Source organism: Homo sapiens, chromosome 20 (genome assembly GCF_000001405.40).
Source record: "Homo sapiens chromosome 20, GRCh38.p14 Primary Assembly".
NCBI lineage: Eukaryota > Metazoa > Chordata > Mammalia > Primates > Hominidae > Homo > Homo sapiens.
In genome coordinates, this window is record NC_000020.11 from 58,336,410 (window position 1) to 58,351,399 (window position 14,990).

The 14,990-nt window shown below is 43.1% G+C and overlaps 1 protein-coding gene across 1 annotated transcript in view; it reads left to right on the plus strand.

Moving 5' to 3' along the window:
• RAB22A (RAB22A, member RAS oncogene family) overlaps window positions 1-14,990 on the plus strand; it is a 57,793-nt gene that overhangs the window by 26,695 nt on the left and 16,108 nt on the right. Inside the window, exon 3 of the mRNA NM_020673.3 lies at window positions 7,309-7,390. Coding sequence (NP_065724.1) covers window positions 7,309-7,390 — 82 coding nt within the window. The remainder of the gene's footprint in view (window positions 1-7,308; window positions 7,391-14,990) is intronic.

A 14,990-nucleotide genomic window follows, 5' to 3' on the forward strand; every position in this document is an offset into this window, starting at 1 on the left:
TTCCCCAATTTTTGCCTACATCATCTGTCTCTACTTCTGTCCTGGAGGATCCTTAAAAGTAGAGACTTTAAGGATACTGCCTGGAATCTGGGGGGATAAAAAGTATTTTATTGTCTCTTGGGAAAAATAAAACTAGTTCATGAAACTGGTAGGTTTTAAATTTTACCAATATTGTTGCTTAGGCAAGGCTCAGTTTAAAAAAAGAGAGTGATTTTTTGAAATATTCAGTAGTAATTCAAACGAAGCAACATAATGCAAATGGTACATAGAAATGTACCTTTTTTAAAATATTTTTAGAATATCTCTGAAATATTCACTAGTAATACAAATGGAGCAGCATAAATGGGGTGGCGGAGCTCTGGCCTCCAGGAGATTCTGGCTTACAAGGAACAGGGCCTCACACCAAGGAGGCACTTGTTACCAGCCTTCACCTGCCTGGAGCCTTCTATGTGGTCACCTAACTGCACTCTGCCCACCCCACCCTCCAAGTCTAACCCTGCAGAGCAGCCAGGCTGCTGCTTGACATTCATGATTCTCTACTTTGATTCTTGCCGTTGCTCTTCATGGAATGGGACCCCCCTGGGGGTCCTCGCCCATCTTCTCCCTCAACTTTCTGGCTCAGCCCCATACTTCACCTCTTCTCTGAAGGCTTTCCTGATGCATTTGTTTCCTCTTGCTGCTTTAACACATCACAGCAAACTGAGCAGCTTTAAAAAACACACACTTACTCTTTTATAGTTCTGGAGGTGAGAAGTCCAAAGTCAGTTCACAAGATTAAAGTCAAAGTATTGACAGAGCTGGTCCTTCTGGAAGTTCTGAGGGGAGAATTCATTTCCATACCTTTTTCAGCTTTTAGCAACTGCCTTGGCTTGTGGCCCCTTCTTTCATCTTCAAGGCCCGTCATTCTCTTCTCCATTTCCATGTTCAGATCACCTTCTCTTCTGGCTCTCACTCCTCTTGGTCCCACCTGAGTAATACAGGGTCCTCTCTCCATCACAAGATCCTCAATTTAATCACATCGGGCAGGTCTCATTTGCCATTTAAGGGAATCTGTTCACAGGTTCTGAGGTTAAGGTGCAGATCCTAGGATGCCATCACCATTCTCCTGCTCACAGTCTGTCCATTCTTCACTTACCTCATAGGATAATTACCTGGTAATTATCTATTCACCTGACCAGTACCCCCAGTGTAAGCCACTTGAGGGCTGTGATGGGCTCTTTCTCACCTTGCCTGCCTGGTGTTCCTGCCATGTGGTAGAAGTCCAGGTGTTTGAAGGAGTGAACAGATTGCCCAGTACAAATAGCACTGTAGTTCAGAGCACAGACTTGAGGTTCGACTGCCTGGCTGTGGATCCTAACTGCACCTCTCACCAGCCCTGTCTATTCTGTGTCCCATCTGCAAAATGGTGATGAAGAATAAAACCCAGCCTGGAGCCCACAGTAGAGGGATTCAGTTGGGTCACATGTGAAATCATTAGAAGAGTGTCTAACAATAAAGTCAAGACAGTTTTGTCATTGTTGATTTTGTTTTTGATGTGAAATGGTATATGTTATGTAAATTATTATTGACAAGTTTAGGAAAGGATAAGCTTTTTGCTATTTAGTTATGTTTGTTTATTTTTTTTTATTTTTTTTTGAGACGGATCTCGCTCTTGTCGCCCAGACTGGAGTGCTATGGCGCAATCTCAGCTCACTGCATCCTCCATCTCCTGGGTTCAAGTAATTCTCCTGCCTCAGCCTCCTGAGTAGCTAGGATTACAGGGACCCGCCATCACACCCGGCTAATTTTTGTATTTTTAGTAGAGACGAGGTTTCACCATGTTGGTCAAACTGGTCTTGAACTCCTGACCTCAAGTATCAGCCCGCCTCAGCCTCTCAAAGTGCTGGGATTACAGGCTTGAGCCACCGTGCCCAGCCTGTTTAAAGAAATCTTTTCCTTGATTTTAAATATTTTCCAAAAAGTTTTTAGGCTGTATGATGAACATGTAGAAGGTGATAAAGGATTTGCTTAGGATGACCATGAACCTGTGGAACAGTCCGTTGTGCACCACTCTGCTTTAAGTGGGTATCGACTGCTTGGGAGAGATTACTATGCAGAGTTAATCCTTAGATCTCATTAGCCTAAGAGATGGTGGAGATTCAAGAAAAGGTTAAAGGTGTGTGTGACTATGGAATGCACACAATACTTCACTGAATTTATGGATACACTTGAGACTTCCGGCTTCTTGAAGCCACTCTAACATAAGCCAAATGTGCGCTTAAATTCAGCTAACCCTCACTGAGAACCCATCAAGTTCTTTGCACCATTCTAACAGAGACAACTTTGTGAAGGTCCCTTGATACCTCTGTTAGAGGAACTTCTAGATGTCATGTGCCTTTGGTCTTTTTATGTCTCAATCTTGGTATTCAGTGGTGTTTCCATCAGTGTACATAATCCAGAGATCCAAGGGTTGTTTGCATGAGATTTCTAGTTTTGAGAAGTGAGAATCCTTTGTTAATTGTAAAATGTGCTGGATTGTTCATCCTCGGGAGGCACTATATGCCATTATGGGGATGACACCATCCCATATGCCATGCAAAGAACAGGGTTTGCAGTAAAGAGAGGTGCTGGAATGTAATGTCAGAGCACACCTATGTTCCAGGAGAGCTAAACAAGTCTACTGCAGTTAAAGAAAAGAAATGTTTAAAATACCTTGCAACAAGTTTTTTCATTGAGAGCACGTACTCTGACCAAAGTTCATGACTACTTGGTGTGCATGAAGAAAGTCATATTTTTAGAATGCCATGATAAATGGAGAAGTATATGAAAAGCATTCTAGCTTTAGGAAATAATGCTAGTATGGATTTTAGATTAAAGACATAATAAGATCTGCCTAAGCAGAGTGAAGAGAGATGGTTTAGTAGTGAAAAATAAGGTTATCAGACAAGTAAATGGCAGGCTGGAAAATAAAAATGTATCATTTGAATGGCAGGGAGCCATTGCCAGTTTTTCAAAAAGCAAGATATTAAAGTTATCATACCCTCTGCATCATTTAACTTGATCGTTAAAGGAGTGATCCTAGTGATCCTAGAGTTCTAGTGACAACGGGAGGGAAAAATTGTAGTAGTCCCACTGGAAGATTAGGGTCCAATTTATGAATTTATTTCAGGGATTGAGGTTCAAGTGTAGATTAAATATAAAATGAAGAACCAGACAGCTCTACTTCAAAATTGGATGCAAGTAACAAAGGACAAAGGATAGTTGCAGACTTCGTTTCTGTTCTGTGGAAGGCAGACATAACGTTCTGTGATTGAGATCTTGGAATTTGGGGTGATTTGTGGGGGTAGAGTGGAAATAACGCCCTATTTTCACCATGTTGGGCAGGAAGGGTGATGAAGTATCTAAATTGTGTAGTTAAACTAAAATCAAGCAGATTTGGAAAAGTGCTGTTCTCAACAGGTGAAGACCTGACCGTAGGAAGGAATCCATTGTTGAGTCCTGCTCCTGCAGGACTTCTGCCTGGGGCTAGCCCAGAGCTCGGGAGGCGCCACAGGCAACCTCCCCCTCCCATGTCTCACCCTGAATCCAGGTGTTACCACTACGGAAAAGAATCCAATCCTAATGCTGAGGAGGAAGTGGTTCTTACAGATGTGATAGGCCAAGATTTTAACCTCTCAGAAATCAACAGAAATGCATTGTGGGGTTGAGGGGAGAAAGGTTGGCCACTTGAGCTGTGACGTGGGGTTGGGAAAAAACTCCTGATTCAAACGTGAATGAGCAGGAAAGAGACACCCCCTCCTTCCAAAAAGCGATATGACTTCTTAGCAGAATTCCAGAGCTTTGAGTGAGAGAGGGACACAGTGACTTTGCTGTAACTCCTGGATTTTGCTGGTTGCCTGTGGGCTAGAAGGAGTTGGAGCTGGTGGCTTGGCAGAAGGCAGGAAGGACACTGCTTGGGCGTACTCAGCCTTGCACTAGTTGAGCCACTTCCCACATACCCTAAAGGCCACACACCTTGCTAAGGTTGCAGAGCCCAGGTCTGCTCTAATCTCAACGTTTTACCTGCATTTCAATAGTACTTCTCACTTCATGCTTCAGGAAGTGCTTGGCCAAGACACCCTAGATCTGTTGGCATAACAGACAGCCACTTAGCTTGTAGGCTACATGATAAATGTTTTGTTGGAGTTCTAGGATAGCAAGGAGATGGAGAGATGAGGAAGATACCCCTATTACAGAGGAAGAGTTACAGCGAGGCCCCTACACTCAAAGAACTTAAAATTCTCATGGGTAAGTCAGACATTGAACAGGCAAACTTTAAAAAGAAAAAAACATAAATGAACTACTCAGATGTTGTGAAAGCTGCTCTAAAGACAAAGTGCAGTGGTGAGTTGGGTGGGAGGCTGCCTGGTGGGGTAGATGGCACAGGTGTCTATGGTCATTAACATTTAAGCTGAGACCCAAACGATGGGGAGCATCTGGCCAGGGGAGAGCCAGTGGGAAAGCATCCAAGGAAGAGGAGCAGTCAGTGGTCCGTGGGAAGGTGGACACAGGGACAATTGAAAAGATTTGAGACTTGAGACCAGTTTGATGACTGCAGTGGCCAAGGCAGGATGTGCTGGGGTCATGAACCAGGGCAGCATTGACACATGAGCCAAAGAAAAGACATCTCTGACTCAGCAAAAGTCAGAAAAATGGAAGTCACAGCAAGTATGAGTGGAAATTCGTCTGTTCTCTAGTTGAAAGTGTTGACTGGGGAGCTGGTTGAAAGTCTTGGGGCTTATAACCTGTTTTCTCTGAGAAGGCTGAAACAAGCTGTTGTCCTGAAGAGACAGGTAGCTGGAAGTGGTAGAGAACTGGAAAGGAGGAGAGAGAATGTGGGATAATTGCTGTGGAATGGAAGAAGGCCTAAGACGCATGCCCAGCAGACAAAGCGTAGAATCTTCATGGCCGTCCACATAGTTTTGTAATTTTTCCTCCAGCGAAGCCACCACCCAACCATTGGGTAGAGGAAGCAGGTGGAGAGGCTGTTGGGGCTTTTCTGGGTGGTTGAGACAAGACAGGCAAGGAGGCTAGAGAACTGGTGGTGTGGGCAAGTGATGCTGGTGATCAATGGACTGGAAGCCAACAGCAGAGACTTAGACCCAAGAAGGGAGCTTGAGGTACAAGAAAACTTCAGGGTAGACAGGAAGGAGGCGTGGTGAAAGTGATGAAAGGGGAGAGTAGAAGGGTGGTCCAGGGTCAGACAGGGAGTTAGATTTAATCCTTCAGGGCACTTTCATTACATCATAGCTGCCATTTTGTCTTTTATCTGACTCAATAATAAGTCAGTAATAAGTAATGTTTTAATTAAAGGTAAATGCTTGGCAGGTAGGTTAAACTTCATTGAGTCCCAATCCTGTCATAATTATTGTGTATACCTTTCTCAGCTTTTTGTCTACTTGAAATATATTTCTTCTTCCTTTGAGCAGCCAAAATGGAAGTGTTGGATGTGTTGGCTCTGTTGGTAGGCTCCTGTTGGATGCCTGTTGTCACTCATAAATGTAACACCACAACCATAATTGATGGAGAGTTGAGTTGCAAGCTTTTAGGACTAATTGCAAAGTCTAAACTAAAACATTTCCTGGAGCTGCCTTTAAATAATAATAATAATACCTTGTATAGATACAGTGCTTTACAATTTACAGAGCACTTCCACATACATCATCTCATTTAATCTTCACAATAAACAATGCTTTTTGAATGCTTAGATATTTCCTAAGTGAGAAACCATGTTGTACATCCTGATTTAATCATAGTGAGTCACCAAAAGTTCTTGATACAATAACCATTTATGAGTACCTTCTGTGTACAAAGCACTTTACTAAGGATACCAAGGGGTAAATTTTCAGTAAATAAATATCCAATAAGTAGTACCTATCAGTAAATATGATCTTGCCTCCTAATTTACCTTCGCTTCCTAGTCACAGTCACTGTTTTGGAGGCTACTTGCCATGGCATAAATTTATATAAATATTGCCAGGAATTCATTGTATCAGAGTTGAAGTTTTAAAACTAAGGATTCTGATACTTGTCTAAGCTCATGATTCATCAGAAAGTCATCCTGTCTATTCAACTTGCACTTTTCTTGAAGATTATCACTTGAATCTCAAGAAAAATATTTCAAGGCCTCAGCATATCTGAAAATGCCAGCCATTGAGTTCAATGTCCTGATTGGAGTGATTTGGGTACAACTTGGCCAAAAAACAAGAGTACAATTTGGCAAAAAAAAAAAAAAAAAGTATAACTTCGTACTTGGTTCCAGAAGTCTTATTTTTCATTAGAAAAGAAGACACACCCATCTTTGGGCTCTACTGGCCAGACTGGGATGCTTTGAGAAGACTGGGAGACAAAGGACTTCCTGGGAGGCTGCCCTCTGGGTGAGGGGGGAATGGAAGGTAGTATTGGAGCTGGGCCCAATCCCAGGGCAAGAATCCTGAACCTGTGTCCTGGAGTCCCCCAAGTGTCCAGGCGTGTCTTCTGGGCCACCATGGCTCTTCAGAGGATACACAGATTTTGAGGTCTCACTCAAGATTCTCCAAATGTAGAACCCCCAAAATAATAGGAACCCTGCCGTCAGAGTGCCCTGGGCAGAGTAGCTCCCTGAAAGTGAGCGGTGTGACCTGCAAACCATGATTCCTTCTCCCATCCGGGGCTCGATGAGGCCCCAAGGTGTGATGTTGAACTTCAGCTGAGAAACCCGTTTTGTCGATGAAATGCAGGTGGTCGTCAGGGGCACTGATGATGAATCGGGTCCCCTTGGTGCAGCTGTTACTTCTCCAGCCATCTTCCTGCTCCTTGTTCAACACCTTAATGTTATTAATTCGCATGTTAACACTAGCTCTCACTCACCTATTTACATGGGAATGTGGTTTGGGAATTGGGGGAGGACAAAGCCAGATCCTAAAAAGTTTTTTTTTTAACTAGTGTATACATTCCTGGACATAGTTTTTTAGGAATATTTTCCCATGATAACATCTCTTTAAATAACAGGTTTTGTGTTTTACAAGGGAGGCTAATGTCTGTGTTGCCAAACTATCTCTTGATTCTTTTGATAAGGAGCTTAGAACCCTTCCTTCTTGGTGTCGGGCAGATGTGCCTAATGCTTTATTTTGACGGAGGATATGCACTCAGCATCTGAGCATCCCATAAATACTCCAGAGAGGAACACAATTAGGATACAGCGTGGTGCTGGGAGACTGAGCGTTGGTTGAGTCTAAGTGATGTTTCCGACTGGGGCTGGAAACGTGCTTTACATAATTGTATTCTGATCATTTAGGTCTCTCTTTATAGGGCATCTTTTATGACCAAGACTGTCCAGTACCAAAATGAGCTACATAAATTCCTAATCTGGGATACAGCTGGACAAGAACGAGTAAGTCACTCTTTAATTTACTCTGTTTTTCTGAGGCCCAAATGAAAGTTCCAACTAAACTGTCAGCATCCCTGTCATCTCACGTTACTCACTTCTCTTCTGTGCACCGGAGACACATTTATTTCCATTTGCGTAGGCCAGCCTTTGCCTTTGCCTTTTCAATTAGAGCCACAGAGTCCACCGATGGAGAAAGTGATAATGGGCACTGAGGGCATTTTTATACCTTGCAGTGTCTTAAAGTAAATGCTGACCAACAGGCCTGATAAAATCCCACTCAGAGCACTGTGTATAATTTGGGGCTCTCTCCTCTAGTAAAGATATATAAAGCAATTAGTGGTAGAAAGGGTGAGTTAAGCACAACTCATTTATCGCTGCCTTTTAAAAGCTAAAGAGGGAACTTTACAGCATATGAAGGGTGAGATATAAGTGAAAAGGATAAGCTAACACAGTGCCTTGCAATAGATACTTAATAAATGCCTGATGACAAAATTGGCCACAATGGTTATCTGCTTAAGGAAGAGCCTGAACCAGAAGCGGGGCCTGAACATGGCAGCATGGGGTCTAATGGAATTTGGGGAAGCCCACCCAAATCAGAAAGGGCCGGGAAGGCAGGGATGGGGACAAACACATCTGCTTCCTCCCCTTTCCTCTGGGTACTGAGACACATCTGCCTCCTCCCCTTTGCTCTGGGTACTAAGACACATCTGCTGCCTCCCCTTTCCTCTGGGTACTAAGTCCAATTTCCCTTCCAAGGTGTCTCTGGCAGCCACCCCATTATTCAGCTGCCGTTTAATTTTGTTTTCAAACAGTACGATCCAAACAGCACATCTGATAGATGCATGGTGCTATCTTAAGCTCTTAAAAGTGTACCAGAAGTAATCAGGAAAAATAGTCTGTCATCACAGCCTTATCTAAGACACCATAGATAGTGTGTGTAGTATGAAATCTGACAAGAATCATCACAGACAAATGGAGGAAAACAAAACAAGCCATTACTGTTGTCCTAGACATAGACTCCATGCATTTGTACAGGTTTAATGTCTTAAGTTTGCTCTGTTTGGTTTCTTCTGTTTTTAACACTGGATGTTGTGCCTCTGTCCCATTACTCATCTAAGATATTCTGCTTACCGTCTTCCACTCCCCATTCCTTTTCCTTTGCTCATGTTGTACATCTAGAATGGAGCATTTAGGACAGCTGGACCTTTGCTAACCATCCCTCTTCTGTCCTTCAGAAGTGTGTCGCTTACCAGAATCCTGAATATATCTGTAGACACAGCCCTGGGTTCTGTCCTGTTAGCCACGAATCCGTGTGGCCCTTCCTATTAGTAATATATGTACCCTCCACTAAATCCCAAGTTTCAGTTACCCCTCACATATATTTGATGATACAGCAAAGCCCTCATCATAAAGAATCATGCTGTAATATAGATTCCATTATGCTTTGAATCAGAGCCTGTCCTGGTATATGCAGTGGCGTATAACATCTCTTTTTTTCTGGAACACAAAAAAAAAATAACACAAAGGTGTTTGCCTCTCTCCCTTTCTGCCACCATGGTAGCAGAAGTCTGTGAAGTTTTGTACTTAGCTGGTTTTCCTGCCTCTTGCTTGTCCACTTCTCATTGGTTCTGCAACAGGAGTAGTTGCTCTGAGATGCAAACCTGCCTTCAGCCTGCCTGATGCACCATCACACAGCCCAGAGCTGCACAGGAGATGCTCATGGGGCCAAGCCACAGGCCAGGGGTGCTGACCAGGATGCCCTGCATGGAGAAGACAGGAGAGGAGCACCACCTGATGAGCACACACTCCAGCCAGTTGTTGCTGGGCGTGAGCACATGTCCAGGGTTGCCAAAGCGCAGTGCTGAGGAAAGCCACACACCTGACAGCTACCCACAAATTGTTTGAAATGCTGGGAGGATCACACAAGACACGTCTTGTAAGCCTGTCTGGGTCAGGGACTGCCCGTTTATCCTGGGCAGTGCATTGAAGGTCCAGAATGTGCCATCCACAGCCAGGCTCTATTTTCACCTCCTCCCACCAGTCTGTCCTCTAGTACAAACTGCGTGCTGTTCTCCAGCATGCCATAGTTTCACACCCTCATGCCCTTCCACAACTCTATTCAGCCTTCAGAACCAACCTCCAATGTCACCTAAAGGGGGCTTTCCTGCCATCCCTGCTCTCGGACAAGTAACCACATCGCCACACTGCCGTGTTGCTCTAGACCCATATCTGGAGGCCTCCCTGGGTTCCTCCCTTGGCCTCAGTGCTGGACACCTTCTCCACCCAGGTGTCCTGACAGCTTCATTCTCTACATGTATCGCAAATAGGTTCACTTCTCCATCTCCGCTCCCAGCATCCTGCTCTCAGCCACCTTTGGCCATTCACTGAGTACTCCTTTAGCCTTTTCGTGGGTCCCCTGCTTTCCCTCTGTCCATGACATGTCCTCATAGGACCCAGAGGAATCTTCTGGAAACAAAAATCAGCCTGTGTTATTGGCCTGCTTAATATCCTTCAGTGACTTCCCACTGCACCTCTCATAACAGCCACACTCTGAACAGAGACCTCCCAAGCCCCACGTGACTTGCCCAGGCCTCCCCCGGGGCTCCTCTCTTCTCAGGGCCTCCAGCACTCCTTGGCCTCATGCCTCTGGATACGCTGTTCCTTCTCACCAAAACTCTCTGTTCCCTCCACTGGAGCCCAGCTGGCTCCTTTCCCGTCTTTTAGTGTCAGGTTAAATGTGATGCACTCAGAGTTTTCTCTAAACCCCCTGCATCTAAGCAGGGCCCCAACTTTGTTCTTCATTACTGCCCTTACTCATTTTCCTCAGAACATTCATTAAAAATTGTCCTTAGATACCTGTCTACCTACCTTCATTGACAGAATCTCCCATCAGACTGTAACTCCAAGAGCTGGGACCACAGTGTCTTGTTCACTGCTGTACTCCCAGGGCCTAGCATGGTGCCTGACCTAGAGCTGATGTTCAGATATTGGTTGGTTGGATGAATCAGCAAATAAACTCTTTGGAGTATTCCTTTGTATCCTGAAGTCTTTGATTGCTGTCATCCATGGGATTGTCACCTGTTTCCTTACCTGTCTGCCTTTCATTAGACTGTAAGCTCCTTGAGGGCAAGGACTGCCTTCATATCTCTGCTCTCAGCCCCTTGGCACATGGTATTGATGCCCATAGGTTTATGTCTACTGATTGCCAGCCCTACTTAGGCACAGATAAGGACAGCTCCTCTACCTACTTTTACCATGTGAGTAGTGCATGACTCAAATTATAAATTTCTGTTGTTGTATGTTTATTACTCTTTGTAGTTATGACATTTATTATGGAACCAAAATTGTCGTAAAATGAAAACCCTTTTGATGAATTGACCATTCAGACATCCTCCCCAACCTCCCCATTTGACATCTTGTACTGCACATAGTTTTGACAGATGGATTGTCTTTCTGATGGTCCAGCTACGTTTGATTGCAAAGTGATTTCATTAAGTCAATGAAAGTGATTTTGGAGAATTTCTCAAATGTCCTGTGAAGCCCTTGACAGTAGGGATCTTGTTAACTTAAATGAAGAGGAAAAATACTGCTCAGGATGATGATATAAGTGCTTCAGAAGATAATGGTTTGTGTATCAAAGGGTTAAGAGGGGCCTAGGGAAAATTGATGAAGCCCTCAAATATTTTTGTAAAAATTTGTCATTTTTATGATAAGACTATGAAAGTCAAACATGAAATGAAGGATATCGTATTGTGCTAGTATGTAGTTTTATCAGAAAATTCATAGCCAAGTTATCAATCAAGTTCGACTCAGTGTTCATCCAGAAAATTAGCTCCTGGCTGCAATAATAAACCTAAGGTTTTTCAAATACCAGATAAAATTAAACTTGATTTTACAATTTTAAGTTTATCTTCTCAAGATAGAGTCTTTGTGAGACCATTTTGTCCCTATTATTTGCTATCTTGAATGAATGCATTTAAAATCACCCTTTTTCCACCAATTATCTCCTTCAGTAACAAAGACTCCTGCAGTAGCATTGAGACAGACACAACACATATATTAAAAAACCTCATAAATACACCATACCTGTAGTAAGAGCATGTCAAATACTTGCCATCTGTGTGTGATTGTATAAAAGAAAGCTTCTTGGCCAGGCATAGTGGCTCACGCCTGTAATCCCAGCACTTTGGGAGGCCAAGGCAGGCGGATCACCTGAGGTCAGGAGTTCTAGATCAGCCTGGCCAACATGGTGAAACCCCATCTCTACTAAAAATACAAAAATTAGCCAGGCATGGTGGCGCACACCTGTGGTCCCAGCTACTCGGAAGGCTGAGGCAGGAGAATCACTTGATCCCGGGAGGTGGAGGTTGCAGTGAGCCGAGATCGCACCACTGCACTCCAGCCTGGGCCATGGAGTGAGACTCCATCTCAAAAAAAAAAAGCTTCCTAACCAGAGTCTAATAGACATTGCATCCAGTCTTTAAAAATGTACATTCCTGCATCTTAATATGGTTTCTCCCAATGACTGTTTTTACAGAGATCAGAACACTAGGAAGCCTCAGACTTATTTATTGTCACAGTAGTCATGTAAGGAATTGTTCTCCTGTTTAAAATCAAGAACAAGTGTAGTGGCTTAGTATCATCTAGAATTGGGGCAGACAGTCCCAGAAACCAGAGTCTGCAGTGCATCATCCACACTGGCCAGTGCACAGTTACCATCCACATGAAGAGACAAGAAGACCTGACTCCATGAGTAGAAGCAAACCCGAAAGTGATCCCATTATTAGAATTTGCAGACAGAATTTACACATATATTTTTGGGCCACATCCAACCTGCCACCAGTTTTTGTAAATAAAGCTTTCATGGAACATAGCCATGCTTGTTTGTTTATTATCTATGGCAGGGACGTCCAGTCTTTTGGCTTCCCTGGGCCACATTGGAAGAAGAATTGTCTCAGGCTGCATATAAAATACACCAACGATAGCTGATGAGCTTAAAAAAAAAAAATCGCAAAAACAGCTCAGTGTTTTAAGAAAGTTTATGGATTTGTGTTGGGCCACATTCAAAGCTGTCCTGGGCCACATAACAGGCCGCAGGTTAGACAAGCTTGGTCTGTGGCTACCTTCACTCTACAATAGTAGAGTTGAGTAGTTGCAGCAGAGATTATGTGACCCATAAAGCCAAAATATTCACTACCTGGTCTTTACCAGAAAAAGTTTGCCGTCACCTGATCTAGAGCCAGGTTTGGAGCAGAGATGTGCTGACAGCTTTTGAGTCTCTTACATGCCTCCACCTTCTTTCTTTGCATCAAAAGGACATGAAAGTTTCCATGTCAGTAATAGCGAGTGGCTTGCCCTCCCACAGCTAAAAATTATATATAAACTCCAGACAAAGCTTTAAAAAAACAACTGTTTGAAGGCACTGCAGAGCAACCAAATGCAGTCAGGGACTGCAAAGGGGAGCTTTCTTGTGTAAGATCCACATTTTTACAGCTTTTCCCCAGTGGGTATTTCCCAGTTCGAGTGGCACAGGGTAGCTAGTACTTAAGCAGAAAGCTTGTGTTGAGTGCAGAGTTTAGGACTGCTAGAGCAGCCAGAAAAAGAGGAGGCAAATCGCAGAAAAGGGATTCAACAAGGAGGGACCCCCTAAAATCTGTTTATAAATTCCCTGAAGTTTTTTTGACCCCCAAATTGTGAATTCACAAGAGAGACATTATAAAATGCAACAGAAACCAGTAGCTGGCAAGGGTGACAAGACAGCAGAGATTTCAGCTGCTCCTCATTACAGCAGGGCTAGACTTCAAAGTTTGAATCCAATCCTGCTGTGTTACAGGGGATCACTAAACACCTTGGGCATTCCGATGAAACTTCAGAAGAGCCATGCCTTGGGAGTAGAAACCGTGTCCTAGGACTAAGGGCAAATCCAAAAACCCAAGTAGACCAACCAATCTCAGGATGAGTCACCAGTAACTTAATACTCTTCAGAGAAGAAAAAAACCAAGCGTCTACAGTGCATCATCCACACTGTCCAGTGGACAGTCAGCACTACTACACATATGAAGAAACAGGAAGGTGTGACCCAGTGAGTAGAAGCAAACCCTAAAGTGACCCTTTTCTTGGAATTTGCAGACACAGAATTTAAAGCACATATTTTACATATGTTCAGAGATTTAAAGAAAACTAGGCCAGGCACAGTGGCTCATGCCTTTAATCCCAGCACTTTGGAAGGCCGAGACAGGCATATTGCTTGAGTCGAGGAGTTCCAAACCAGCATGGACAACATGGCAAAAGCCCATCTCTTAAGGGAAAAAAAAAAGGAGTGTTAATGACTTAACTGCAAATGGGGAATCTCACATAGAATGGAAACTAATAAAGAATCACATGAAAATGCTAAAACTGAAAGCTGCAATATCTAAGATGAAAAACTCACTGGAGGGTGATAGAACACATTAATCAGAAGAATAGAAAAACAGTAGAAAAATATGGACAGAGTCTCAGTATCATAGGGACAAATTCAAACAGTCTAACGTATGTGTAATTGGAGAGCCAGGAGGAGCAAAGAGAGAGATGGAAACAGAAAAAAAGATTTCAAGAAATAATGGCTGAAAATTTCCCGAATTTAGTGAAACATAACTCACAAATCCAAGAAGTTCAACAAATCTGTAAGTTCAAAGAACACCATATCTAGGTAAGTCGTAGTCAAACTGCTGAAAACCAAAGGTAAAGAGAAAATCTTGAATGCACCCAGAAGTAAAAGACACGTAAACAGGAGAACAACAATATGAATGATGGCTAACTTTACACATAAACGCCGGAGACCAGAAGCCAGAGGAACAGGATCTTTAAAGTGTGGAAAGCAAAAACCTATCAGTTTGCCAAAATTAGTTTTCAAATATAAAGTCAAAGTAAGAACATTTTTAGAAAAACAAAAACAGAAATCAACAGCAGCTGTCCCAGAAGGTTTTTCACACTAAAGGAAAATGACACCACATGGTAATTCAGATCCATAGGAAGAAATAATAGCCACTAGAAATGGCAAATAGAAACGTATGTTTTTTCTTCTTCAATTATTCAAAAGTTAACTAATTCAAAAATTATAACACTGGATTGTATAGTTTATAGCATATATAGATTTAGATTATTTGACAGTGGTAGTACAAAGAATGGTAGGATAACAAGAAATTAGACTTTTGCAAGTCTCTGATATTTTACATGAAGTGGTGCATTTTAAACTAAGTAGACTGTAGAAAAACGTGCAGTAGTCCAGACACAGGGGCTCACACCTGTAATCCCAGCACTTTGAAAGGCCACGACAGGTAGATTTGAGGCCAGGAGTTCAAGATCAGCCTGTCCAACATGGCAAAACCCCATATCTACTAAAAATACAAAAGTTAGCCGGGCATGGTGGCACTTACTGTAATCCCAGCTACTTGGGAGACTGAGGCACAAGAATTGCTTGAACCCGGCAGGCAGAGCTTGCAGTGAGCCAAGAACACACCACTGCACTCCAGCCTGGGTGACAGAGCGAGACTCTGTCTCAAAAAAAAAAAAGAAAAATGTGCAGTATATATTATAGTTACAAAAGCAACAACTTAAAAAATAA